Source organism: Homo sapiens, chromosome 17, assembly GCF_000001405.40.
Source record: "Homo sapiens chromosome 17, GRCh38.p14 Primary Assembly".
Taxonomy (NCBI): Eukaryota; Metazoa; Chordata; class Mammalia; order Primates; family Hominidae; genus Homo; species Homo sapiens.
The window spans coordinates 16,816,332-16,829,887 of NC_000017.11; the positions used below are offsets into that span (position 1 = coordinate 16,816,332).

A 13,556-nucleotide genomic window follows, 5' to 3' on the forward strand; every position below is an offset into this window, starting at 1 on the left:
CAGGTCATAGTGTAAAGCTGGATTCTTCCACTTATTTGGGGAAAGTTGCTTCCCCTCTCTGAACCTGTTTCCTCACTGTAAATTCAGATTCATCCTTTATTGAGCACCTACTATGTGCCAGGCATTGGGTTGAGTGCTGGGGATAAAGTAATGAGCAAGCCCTTATCTTGATGAACAGTTACGGAATAAAATAGACCTGCAAAAATAAACACGCAATTCACAACTGAGGTGAGCACGGTTGGTGGGGGAATGGAGAGCACATAATAAAGGGTGTGGCATGGTTGGGGGCATCAGTGACCTTCTCCCTGAGAAAGAGACACTTGAGTGAAGGGGGAGGAGAAGTGAGCCAGGAGAAGGAAAAAGGGGAGGGGCATACAGCATGTGCAAATGTCCTGAGGTGGAAACAAGCAAAGTGACTGCCAGGGCAGGAGTCCTGTGTGGCTAAAGGGCAGTGGGTTAAGTCAAGCAAAGGATTTCGGTGGGAGAAAAAAAAATAGTTCTGACCTTGGCCAGGCACAGTGGCTCACACCTGTAATCCCAGCACTTTGGGAGGCCAAGGTGGTCGGATCACCTGAGGTCAGGAGTTCGAGACCAGCCTGGCCAAAATGGTGAAACCCCATCTCTACTAAAAATACAAAAATTAGCTGGGCATGGTGATGGGCATCTGTAATCCCAGTTACTTGGGAAGCTGAGGCAGGAGAATTGCTTGAACCTGGGAGGCTGAGGTTGTAGTGAGCCCAGATTGTGCCATTGCACTCCAGCCTGCGTGACAGAGCGAGACTTGGTCTCAACAACAACAACAAAAAGTTCTGGCCTCATGAGGTTGTTGTGAGGCTTAAAAGAGCTCATATTGTAAAACTGCTGGTGTGGGTCCGGCACGTAGTGGGACATCGTCCTGACTGTCGGTGGCACTGTGGCTGCACCCAACTTCCCCATGGACCATCTGGGCAACTTGGGTTCTCAGCTCCGTTGCTTATTATTTGCCCATCCCTCTGGCCTATTGAGCCCCCATTAAGATCAAAGACCTGTGCCTGTGGGGCCTGGGGAGGACACTGGATGTTTGGAGGATCATAGTTCCTTCCATCAAGGAACCTCCAGTGTTGCAGGCAAGACCCTCGTTGCTTTGCCTGCACTGTCGTTGCTTTGCCTGACAAGACTGTCAGGAGAGCTTGAGTTCCTACCTTCAGTTCATGGACCTCCAGGAGCTCTAGGAGACCCCTGAACCCCATGAAACTATATGAAAATGTATGTGTGCTTATTTGAAGGTAGGGGCAGAAGGAAAGATCTATAGCTTTCAATATTCTCCAAGGAATCCCTGATCACAAAAACATTAGGAATCCTTAACCTAACATAGTGCCTGACATAGCGGCACTCAATATCTGGTGAATGAATGGACACACATGAAAATGAGTGAGGAAATGAATGAATATCTCTCTGTACCCTAGGAGACGCCACATATGACCTGGTACACACATCTATCTTTGTCTTCTGAGATGGCGAAAGATATCCTGGGACCTGAGCCCAACCCACCCACAGGACCTTTTTCCCAGTCCCAGGGGCCATAGCCAGGTGCTATGACAAGCTCCAAAGAGATGCTTCTCCCACTTTCTCCCCATCCCCACTCCTAACAATGACCAGACAGAGGTGAGAATTATGCAACTCAGATAATGAAGCTGTATTGATTGCCAGGAGGGGGTGAGGGTGAAGCAGGGTCCAGGTGTGAAGTGCTTAGGCGGCAGGAGAGGGGATCTTCTAGTGGGATCCGTGTCCACACAGGGGGCCTCCTGGGCCTGAGCGGGGCTGGGCAGCCTCAGTTCTTGGTGCGAAGGACCTGCTCGTGGGTGGACACCACCTTGCCATCGTGCACATCCATGATCTTGGTGTGGATTTGGTGGCTGGAGGAGGTCACTGGGGAAGAGGCGGAAAGAGGACATTACCAGAGGTGGACAGACAATGGACTAATCAGGAGTAAGGAGGCCAAGAAGGTGAGGAAACTCAAACTGTCTCCCAGTTGCCCTCTCCCCTGATTACTGCTTCACTCCCTGCTGTTGCCCAAGCACTGATACCGTCAACACATTTCTTTCAGACTAGGGCTCCCAAAGGTCAGAGACAGAGTCTTTGTCTTCAGATTAGAGCTTCCTAAGAGCTCACACCCAGCTGGTTCCGTCCATATTCACCCAATGGAGTGGTCTCGGTGGGAGGAGCCCTGCAGGGCCCTGTTCATGGTGCTGAGCACCACAGCAATAGGATCTGCCACAGACACCCGGTAGAAGTAAGAGGTGGGGGCTGCCTCTCCTAGCCCTAAGGAGGGTTTAGAAAATAGCTTCTTCCACCCAAGGAGGTTCCCAAGGGAAACTGGGTGACATCACTAGAGCTCAGCCCCTCACGGAGCCCCTAGCCAATGCCTAGACCTGCTTGGGGTACAGAGGGCGGCCTGGAGCCCAGGCCTGCAGAGGATGAAGGTCTTACCGGTCTCTGGATGACTGCGATCCAGAGGAGAACTGGGAGGAGGAGAGGCTGTGAAGACAGAAAAGGGCAGGGTCATTAGATACATGGTGGGGCCGTGAGAGTGCCATGGTGGGGCGGATTAAGGGGAGGGCCAAGACTCATTGGGCATCCTCGCCCTCCAGCAGGCGGCGGTAGGTGGCGATCTCCTGTTCCAGCCGCATCTTCACGTCCAGCAGGATCTTGTACTCCTGGTTCTGCTGCTCCATCTCGCAGCAGAGCTGGGCCAGCTGCTCCTCCACACTGCCAATCATCTCCTGGATTTGGGCCAGCTGCACACAGTAGCGGCCTTTGGTCTCCTCCAGGCTGTTCTCCAGGGATGCTTTCTGTGAGGGAGGGAAAGGGAATCAAGGATTAGTGAGTGTGGCCATTCTCTCCCTGCCAGTTCTGGGTGCACCACCGGGCCTGGCACCATTCCTAACATGCTGAGCTGGGACTGCAGCTCAATCTCCAGGTTCTGCATGGTGTGCCAGAGCTCCGAAATCTCGCTCTTGCCGCTCTGCACCAGCTCGCTGTTGGTGGCCACCTCGTGGTTCAGCTTCTCTGTCTGCAAAAAAGAGAACACCATTCACACCAGAAGTCCCCAGAAGGCAGGTGGTCTGGGTTCCTTCCACCTCAAATGACACCCACCTTAGTGAAGAACCGTTCCTCTGCGTCCTTGTGGTTCTTCTCTGCCATCTTCTCGTACTGGTCACGCATCTCGTTCAGAATGTGGCTCAGGTCCACACCAGGTGCATCGTCCATCTCCACATTGACATCTCCACCCACCTGGCCTCTCAGGGCATTCATCTCCTGCACTGCCAGGGACAGTCCACAGTCAGGAGTTCCACCACGGCAGCAGATTGGGGTTCCTTAGTCAGGCCTGAATACTGCCCTCCCAGAATCACAATTCTATCTTGACTCTCCCTTCCCTCTCTCTCTCTCTTTTTTTTTTTTTTTTTGACAGGGTCTAGCCTTGTTGCCCAGGCTGGACTCAAACTCCTGTGTTCAAGTGATCCTCCCATCTCAGCCTCCCAAGTAGCTGGGACTATGGGCATGCACCACCGTACCCAGTCTCCCTGCGCTTCTTTTAAGCTGGCTTTTCCATATAGTTCTCACCTCCTCATGGTTCTTCTTCAGTTAGGCCAGCTCCTCCTTCAGGCTCTCAATCTGCATCTCCAGGTCAGCTCTGGCCAGGGTCAGTTCGTCCAGCACCCCAGCACCTGGCGCATGCCATTGATGTCGGCCCCCACACTCATGCGCAGGTTCAACTCTGTCTCATACCTGGAATGACCCCAGAGAAAAGGAATGATACACCCATCCTGACCACAGTGAGGGCTTTGTTCTCTTCTCCCTGCAGCTTCTCCCAGAGCTGGTGCCTTGTGGGTGGTTTAAGGAGCCAATCTTGAAAATGGCATGGTTGAACACAGTGCCCATTGATTGCTCAGATATGAACATTCCTGGGGCCTGGGGATGAGGCAGTTCATCTTGCTGCAGAATTCAGGAGGGGGTTGCGCTTCTAGCTTCAGCCAACAAATAATGCATAAGTCCTCCAACTATGATTCCCTCCTATACTTCAAGGGCAGCTGGGGAAGTGGAAAGTGCCTCTCCCTAAAGCAGCAGTTCTGAAACCTGGCTGTGGACCAGAATCTCCCAGCTAACCTGCTATAAATAGCTGAATCAAAACTCCAAGGGTGGGGCCCAAGAGTCTTATTCTTTTATAAGCACCCCAGGGAGTTTTCATGCAGCTATTCTGGCACTGGCTAGTTCTATTTGGGAAACACTGCTCAAAAAATGCCCTACTTTGGGGACACTGGATGTTCTGGCCCACCACTGCAAACTCGCTTGGTGCGGAAGTCATCTGCGGCCAGACGGGCGTTGTCAATCTGCAGAAGGACATTGGCATTGTCCACTGTGGCCGTGAGGATCTGCAGGATGGAAAGGGCACAGGTAATTTGTCAAATGGACTTCACAAGCTGGACTTCACTGTAACCTACATTAAGCTCTTGCTTCATGTTCTTGCCTGAATTCCCCTTTCCCCCCACAAAACTTGACCATAGCAGCCTAAAGGAAAACAGATGCCCCAGGCCTGTCCTAAGACTTTGCTAACTCATGGTCAACAGAGGGGGTAGATGCAGCCCCGGGCTTAGAATCAAAAGCCCAGGAGTTCTGGTCGCAATTCTGCCACTGACTTGCTGCAAAACCTAATGGGTCTTGGGGCTTCAAGTTCCCCACCTCCAAGTGAGGAGAATAATCTGAGGCTCCCTAGCCCTCCTTCCTGAGCTGGCCTCTCTTCTCTCTGCAACAGCCAGCCCTGCCAGTCCTCTGCAGAGATGCACATTCCTTTTCAAGCTCACGGGCCATGGGACTTCAAATGGAACTTTCTCAAGAGATAAAACCCAACTGACACAGGGGATTAGAAAAGAGGACTCGGGGGAAGAATAAGAAGATATATTGGCCCCTGAGTCTGACTGGAGTTCCCCACATCATCATTGAATTTCCCTAATCCATGCAAGGCATTAGAGCCCAGCAGACTCCCGCAGGGAGGGCTCCCAGGTGATGTGGGAGCAGGGGGGAGGGGGCTGGAGACAGGGCACAAGCCTGCCAGGCTCCCTTTGTGCAGGGCACGTCAAGGGGCCACACTGATTGTCTCTGCAGGCTCTCCATGCCTGCCTGGCTGTGGGGAGGGACCAGACTGTACCAAGGCTTATGGGCGGCGGCAGCCACAGCCCAGACTAGTGAGCTAATGAGCGGTTTGGATGTCTTGCCTGGTCCCGTTAGAGCCTCGCTCCTCCCCTGTGCTGGAAGGTAGGACACAAGGGACCCAGCCTTGGCTCTGCCATTAATTTGCTATGTGACCTGCAGCTGGTCACAGCACCTCTCAAAGCTTCAACTGCTTCCTCTGTAAAATGTAAGGACAGGAATCACTGATCTCACTTGATCTGAGGATTTGACATCAGAAGGGGATGAGCAGGCTGGAGAAGGAGAGAGCATCCTCTCACTGATCAGCTCTTAGGGCATCCAAGACCTCGAAAGAAGGGATCTGGGGTGGGCTCTGTCCTATGGAGAAATCTTAAGGTGTCAGTGTCCTGGGGCATCTATTGTTCCCAGAAGGAGCTAGCTGGAATGGCACCTTCTGCTGCCCATTCACCCACCTTGTTCCTCAGATCCTCGATGGTCTTGAAGTAGGGACTGTAGTCTTTGATCTTAGCAGGCCGCTGCCACTGGTACCAGTCATGGATCTTCACCTCCAGGTCAGCGTTGGCCTCCTCCAGGGCACGCACCTTGTCCAGGTAGGAGACCAGGCTGTCGTTGAGGTTCTGCATGGTCACCTTCTCACTGCCCACCAGAAGGCCATCACCACCAGCAAAGCCACCACCCAAGCCACCACCGAAGCCAGCACCAAGGCCACCACCATATCCTCCTCCAAAGCCACTACCGAAGCTGCTGCTGCTGCTGAAGCCACCGCCATAGCCGCCCCCCAGCCTGTAGGCTCCCCCAGAGGAGAAGCAGGAGGAGGAGACAGACAGGCCACCCCTGTAGGTGCTGGGGGCGCGGCACGACCCTCCGGCCAGGACGGAGGAGATGTGGCTGGAGCCGCCCCCGATGCCGCCCCCGATGCCGCAGGAGCCCTTCATGGAGCTGGAGGAGGTGAACTGGCGGCTGCAGGTGCTCATGGTGCCGAGGAGGGAGGTGAGTGAGCGAGCAGTTGGCTGAGTGAAGAGAAGGTGCTCAGGTAAATTGGAAAGGGATGCGAGTGCTTTATACTCATGGGTAGGGGGCGGGCCTGGCACTTTCCATTCCCCTTGGCTTTCATCACCCACAGGCTAGCGCCAACTCCCAGCCAGGTCCCTCCTCTCCTCCACCTCATCATGTCTGTCATATTTTACTGGAAACTCATTGTTTGGGGTGTTTTGGGCTTTCTTGTCCCGCCAGGCGTGATTCACAGGGGGAGGTATGGGCCTGCAGGCTACACTTTCCCATGGGGCCCCGGGAGTCCCAGCCCTCAGGAACCCGCACACTGGGCTCAGCCAGGGTGACAGAGAGCAGGGCCTCTGCACCTTAAACCTGGTGACCTGCTAGCTCTCCATGAACTGGATGGGCCTTTAACATCCACTTAGAGGAAGCCCACCACTGCAGGGGACAGATACCCAGCTGGAGAGCACCGGCATGGCAAGGTCACCTTGGGCACAGAGAGGCCTCCCTCACCATGACCCGCTGTTAGAGACAAGGAGGTCTGGGGGGCCCTCCCAGGCCTGACCTGCCATGCTGTGCTGAGAAGCCTGTCCCATCCCTGAAATACACTCAGCCAGTCAGGTGTATGGTGATTCCCACCCCAACACCCCCATCAAAGAGAAATCCAGGCAGCTCTCCCCAGCCCTGGGCACAGACCCTAATTTCCTCCCTACGGTGAGGATCTGACATCCACCACACCATAGGGCGGGTGGCCTCATGGAGGCCAGGAAACAGCCTGGAGTCAGGTGGGTCCTGGCTCTGCCATTTACGGCCCCGTGACCCAGGGCTTGGCGCTTCTCTGAGCCTCAGTGTTCTCATCTGCAAAGTGGGAGTCATACCATCTACTCTGCCTACTGCAGTCAGCTGTGAGAAGCCAATGCGACAGCGTATGTGAAAGGCTTTTGTAAACCGAGTATGGCAAGAAGCCTGGTTGGCATTGTTGTAGCCCAGGCTTAGCCCCAGAGTGGATGGAGCTGCATCCAGGAACAGGCCTAGGGGGGCCTTTTTTTCTTCCAGCCCCAGATATCCTCTCAGACCCCCAGAACATCCCTAGTGTAGGCAGAAGTCTGGCTCAGGTGCCCTCGTTTGAGCCCCTTGTGGAACTGGCCCAGGAGATGTTCTGGGGAGGAGTAGAGGCTGGAGTGGTGCCAGGCTGTGCCAAGGGCAAGGCTGAAGTGGACACGAGGGTCCCTGACTCCTGAAGCCCCAAGGGTCAGGGGACATTTTTAGGAGTCCACTTGGTCCTGCTTTGGAGGTGTGTATATCAAAAGTTCAGCAATCTCCCAGACAACCTCCCAAAGCAAACCCTTCCGGCCCCCACCCCACCCTCCCATCAGCCCCTGGGCTCCACAGACCCCAGCAGGCATGTTGGGAGGAATGTGGTCGTGTCTGGGGCTGCCTGACACGTCCTATCTCCTCAGACAGGCCCCAACAGCCCCTGCTGGAGGCTCCACTGCTCTTCCTGGGATCAACTGTTCCTAGAAGAGAAGCAGGACCTCTCTCACCCCACCCCCAACCTTGACTGTCACCAAAGAAGAAGCCAGAGAGGGGAGCCCCCCACTACTGTGGCCTAGGAGCTTGGAAGACAATACTGAGACAGACACCTGTGCTGTGGGCTCCCCAAATCTGCCAGCAAAGGACTCTCGAGGATGTGAGTAAGCCAGGGCCCCACCCCGCTCCACCCACCCCTGACAGACACTCCTAATCTCCCTGCAGAGAATGGTCCCCCCACCCTGACCCAGTCCTACAATTTCCCCAGAGAGAGGCAACAGGGGTTTTGGCTGAGGGGCAGATGCTTTTGTTGGGAGGCATGTTGCTGTTGGCTGTGGGGCAAGGGAAGGCTGTGCTCACTGGAGAAAAATGCTGTGTCCAGAGGGATCTGGGAGTGGGAATGGGGTGCAGGGCCCGGTACCTGCTTCCTCTGTGCCCCGCCACCCCCACCCACCACCACCACCGTCTCCTTCTTCTGCAGGGATCAGGAATAGAAGCTCCAGAGCCCAGGACATAGGAACAGCTTTACTTTCCCTTTCATTTGATTCAGTGGAACCCAAAAGAAACTCCTTCCTCCCCCTGCTCCGAGGGGAATCCAAAAGATAAGGATGGCAGGGAACCAATGACAGATCAGTCCATGCACATAATCTTAAAAGGCACTTCTGCAGCCCCATCCCAACCCCACGCACCAACTCCAGAGCTCTAGCATGGAATATAAGCCTGATCCCCCACACCCGTTCTCAGAACCGTGGCCTAACCTGGAGCCTGAGGCCAACCTCTCTTCCCCTGCAGTCAAGGACTCAGTGACCAAGGAGCTGCAAACAGCCCGGCCAAGCAGGGAGCAGACTTAGAGGACACCACACTCCCGTCCCCTCCCTGATGCCAAAGAAGCGTGGTACTCAGACATTTTAAGGGAGGGTATTTTCTGGGTCATCAGGGGTTAAAGGGTTGCCAGTCTTGACAGCTGAGGCCCAGAGTACCCCCCACCTCTGGACTTCTAGGCAGGCTTTGTGTGAGCAGCATTACCTGACCCTCCCTCCAGCCTGCCCCAAAAGGAGGGGGGTAAAGGAGGAGCCCCGGGCAGGACCTCCTGTGGTTAGTGAGTCTCCCTGCACCACCCTACATGGGGGAGCCCCGTGCCAATACTAAAATTATTGTAAATGGATAAAATCCATGGGGTCAAAGAGATCAGGAAAGTAGATTATAGCAATCAAATTTTGGAATCTGGAAAACAAAGACAAAGAAAGCCCAGTGCTTGCCCAGAGAGAAGCCAAGAGGCAAAGCATATTTACACTCTGGAACTTTTTAACTCTGAATTTTTAAGAACTCTGGAAAGTCTCTGGAATAGGGGGCACCAGGTACCTCTGACAGTGAGGAACAAGTGAACTAGAAATGGGAGGGTGAGCTAGAGATCTATATAAAAAGCAGAGAGGCGGCCGGGCACGGTGGCTCATGCCTGTAATCCCAGCACTTTGGGAGACCAAGGCGGGTGGATCATGAGGTCAGGAGATCGAGACCGTCTTGGCTAACACGGTGAAACCCCGTCTCTGCTAAAAATACAAGAAAATTAGCCAGGCGTGGTGGCGGGCGCCTGTAGTCTCAGCTATTCGGGAGGCTGAGGCAGGAGAATGGTGTGAACCCGGGAGACAGAGCTTGCAGTGAGCCGAGATGGTGCTACTGCACTCCAGCCTGGGCAACAGAGCGAGACACCATCTCGGGAAAAGAAAAAAAAAAGCAGAGGCCGCTATAGCTCCTCTCTCCCTTCCTTGTCTGAACCCAACCACTCCACGATTACTCCAGGAGAAACTAGATGTTTATGCTTGAGAATTTCCCCAAAGGGACTCTGAATCCTGAGACACCAAGCAGGGCCAATAAACTGCAATCAACTAGTAGCAGAGTAGCTGAGACTGAGACCTTCTCTGCCCCCTTCCCGCACTCAGCTTCCAGAAAGCTGGTAGCTTTTACAATCCAGACAGGGAATTAGAGGTATTCCTTCTGAGGAAGACCCTCCCCAAGAAAAGTCCTACAGATAACTGTCCCCCAACGAAACAGCCTATTCTCCACCAGATTACTCTATACTGAGACCTACCAGTGGCAAGCTCCCATGCTATCCACACACATATACACATATTCCAATCAGTTTCTCAGTGACTTACTCTTAAATATGAACAACTACCAAGGACCACCAGACATCTGAGAAAAGCCTCTGGCATGAAAGATGGAGGCAAGACAAACAGCAAGAAAGGAACTGAGGAAACTGAGCTGATGACAGAAATAGAAGCACTGCTGGAGCCAGGACTAATAGGCTCAAAGAGATCAGAGAAACCATTGCATCTTGAAACAAGAACAAGAGACTGTTGAAAAAACATGCAGAGCTATGAGAGATGAAAAATATAAAAGATTATTGTTGTTTTTAAGACAGGATCTCACTCTGTTGCCCAGGCTAGAATGCGATGGTGTGATCTCAGCTCACTGCAGCCTTGACTTCCCAGGCTCAAGTGATTGTCCCACCTCAGCCTCCCTAGCAGCTGGGGCTACAGGCCCAGGCCACCACATCCAGCTAATTTTTATATATTTTGTAGAGGCAGGGTCTTACCATGTTGCCCAGGCTGGTCTTGAACTCCTGGGCTCAAGCAATCCACCCACCTTGGCCTCCCAAAGTGCTGGGATTACAGGCATGAGATGCTGTGCCCGGCCAAATGCAGCAGATTTTTTAAAACTCTGAATAATGGAGTTAGAGGTCAAAGTTAAAGAAATTTCTCAGAAAACAGCAACAAAGAAAAAAAGACAAGACGGAAAATAAAACAGAATATGTAGGAAAAAGAGCCATTTCAGAAAGAGAGAAAATGGAGGGAGGAAATCATGAAACACGAAAATTTGCCAGAATTGAACAACATGAGCTCCCACATTGGAAGTTTCTGCTAGTGTCCAGCCAGTGGATGAAGTCACAGCTGCATCAATTCAACACATGGTATTTCAGCCTGCTGGAGAGAAAGAGAAGAACTGAAAAGCTTCTAGGGAAGAGTGTGGGAATAGGATAATAAGACGTGATCTAGAATCAATATGGCATAAGACTTCTCAACAGCAACACCAGAAGCCAAGAAACAGTGAAACTGTACCTTCAAATGCTGAGTGCAAATGATTTCCAAGCTAGAATTCCATACCCAGCCAAACTATCAGTCAAGAGTGAGGATCAACTAAAGATCTTTTTGACACAAACAGTCTAAAAAAATTTAACCCTGATAACTCCCTTCCCAGGAAACTACTTGAGGATGTGCTTCACTAAAACAAAGGGAAAAATAAAAACAGGAAGGAGGAAGACATTGGATCCAGAAAACAAGGAAAGCAACCCAGGAAAAAGAAGGATTTCAGGATGATGGTGAAGAGAGATTCCAGGATCACAGCTGAGCAGGAGACCCAAACAGCACCCAGAACAGACAAGAGCAGGACAGAAGGCCCTAGGAGACACATCTTCATGAGGATGAAATTGAAGGAACACCCAGGGTTCTAAAATACTGAGGAGATTTATGCTTCCAGCAGTGAATCAGGAAACAAATTAATGATCAATACATAGAAAGTTTAGGCAAATTGAAAAAGAGATATTTATTCCAAGGAAATCTAATATAGTATAAAATGTAATATAGTATAATATATGATTTGACTATGAATAACATTTAAATAGTCATGATAATGTAAACATTTATTTAACAAAAATATGAATATATTGAGAAGGTGGGAAGAAGATATTTTAAAAAGAAGTGGGGAGGGGCAATGCTGTATAACAGATCCACATCCTCATCCTTCACAGCCAGAAGTCAAGCGATTAAAAACTGAAACAGAAAAACCAAACAGTAACAAGGTAAAGCCTGTTATTTAGAAGTAAGGAGACAAATCCCAAAAGAAACAGCTGAAGTTGAAAAGGGGAGGCGGGAACAGAGCTGTGGTATCCAGTCTAGGGATGGCTTTTTCATTAAAAAAAAAAAAAAGTCTTATTCACAATAGCAAAGACTTGGAACCAACCCAAATGTCCATCAATGATAGACTGGATTAAGAAAATGTGGCACATGTGCACCTTGGAATACTATGCAACCATAAAAAAGGATGAGTTCATGTCCTTTGCAGGGACATGGATGAAGCTGGAAACCATCATTCTAAGCAAACTATCACAAGGACAGAAAACCAAACACCACATGTTCTCACTCATAGGTGGGAGTTGAACAATGAGAACACATGGGCACAGGGCAGGGAACATCACACATCGGAGCCTGTCAGGGGGTGGGGGACTGTGGGAGGGAGGGATAGCATTTGGAGAAATACTTAATGTAAATGATGAGTTGATGGGTGCAGCAAACCAACATGGCACATGTATACCTATGTAACAAACATGCATGTTGTGCATGTGTACCCTATAACTTAAAGCATAATAATAAAAAAAAAAGTCTTGGCCGGGTGCCATGGCTCACGCCTATAATCCCAGCACTTTGGGAGGCCAAGACAGGCAGATCACGAGGTCAGAAGATCGAGACCATCCTGGCTAATACGGTGAAACCCTGTCTCTGCTAAAAATACAAAAGAAAATTAGCCGGGCATGGTGGTGGGTGACTGTAGTCCCAGCTACTTGGGAGGCTGAGGCAGGAGAATGGTGTGAACCTGGGAGGTGGAGCTTGCAGTGAACTGAGATCGCACCACTGCACTCCAGCCTGGGCGACACAGCAAGACTCTGTCTCAAAAAAAAAAAAGGCTTATGATGTTATACATACATAACTTTTTTAAATTTAAATATTTAAAATATGGAAGGCATCCAGGAAGAAGGAATGGCAACTGAGAGGTATGGGTCATATCTCAGTCAGGTAGGGGTGACTCGGGGGTTTGGAGCTGGGAGGGACAGGAGGACACCAAGCTGGGTTGAGACTGAAGGCTGAGTGCTGGAGGGGAATGGGATCCATCGCCGGCTGTTAAGCAGGGGAGTCCTGATCTCACCCTTGTTCTTGATCCTGACCACATTCTGGTGGAAATCATTCAGTGGAAATTGAATGTGGATGAGATTGACTCTCAAGGGGACCCAGTTAGGCTGTGCCCAGGTCTAGGGAGAGAGGAAGAAGATCTGAACATGGCAATGGCCATGGGGCAGCAGGTGTTTCCTAGGGTGCTCATCAGCACGCAATTCACCAGCTGAGGGGAATGAGGAAGGAGGAGTTGATGGGGTGTGAGGAGAAGCAGGCTGGGAGAAGGAGGATTTCAGGTCTGACGAGGACATCGTTCTCAAGGCAGATACCACTCCCTTCCACCCTCCAATGTAGAAACTGTGTGCAGATGTGGGGGAGCCCATGGGTAGAGTTAAGATTCAAGCGTGGGAGTCTTCGGGTTAAAATACCTGAAAAGGTAGAGTGGTGTTAAAAGAAAGGCATGGACTTTGCAGACAGACAGAACTGAGTTTGAGCTCCAGCCGTGCCACTTACTATCTGCATGATTTTACGCAAGTTACTGAAACTCTGAATTCTGGGGGTTGTCAAATTCCAAAATGGGCCTGACCACACCCACCTCACAGGGTTGCAAGGGCAACCTCGTAAAATAACCTCTGTAGAATGCCTCCATGGTGTCAGTCAGCACGTGTGGACACTCCCCCATCCTGTGTCCCACCTCCCACTTCCATAGAGCGTGGAGGTCTTCCAGGAAGAGCCTTCAAGATCTTCTGAGATTTGTCCCATTTCCCACATCTCTCAGGCTGTGAGGCTCCAGGAGGTTTCTGGAAAGCACCTGCAACTCCCCTCCCATCAGTTCAAGAACAGAGATCACACAGGTTTGCATCAACCAGAAAGTCAGCTTTATTAGCCCATCACCAGTAG

The 13,556-nt window shown here is 51.4% G+C and overlaps 1 long non-coding RNA gene and 1 pseudogene across 3 annotated transcripts, besides 1 other annotated feature; one reads left to right on the forward strand and one right to left on the reverse strand.

Annotated features, from left to right (window-relative positions):
* On the reverse strand, window positions 1,652–6,222 carry KRT16P6 (keratin 16 pseudogene 6; annotated as a pseudogene).
* Window positions 1,855–2,055: a silencer, noted in NCBI's record as "peak2752 fragment used in MPRA reporter construct". NCBI's record gives its function as "represses an SCP1 promoter by STARR-seq MPRAs in K562 erythroleukemia cells {active_cell/tissue: K562}" and the evidence as "EXISTENCE:reporter gene assay evidence [ECO:0000049][PMID:32103011]".
* On the forward strand, window positions 6,096–13,506 carry LOC105371552 (uncharacterized). Of its 3 annotated transcripts, none has more exons than XR_934251.1 (3): window positions 6,096–6,177; window positions 7,641–7,870; window positions 13,435–13,506. It is a non-coding gene; the product is annotated as an uncharacterized LOC105371552 (long non-coding RNA). The 3 variants fall into 3 exon arrangements; XR_934250.3 differs by lacking the exon at window positions 13,435–13,506 and adding an exon at window positions 8,192–11,704; XR_934252.2 differs by lacking the exon at window positions 13,435–13,506 and adding an exon at window positions 8,503–8,589.
* Window positions 13,507–13,556: the final 50 nt, after the last annotated feature.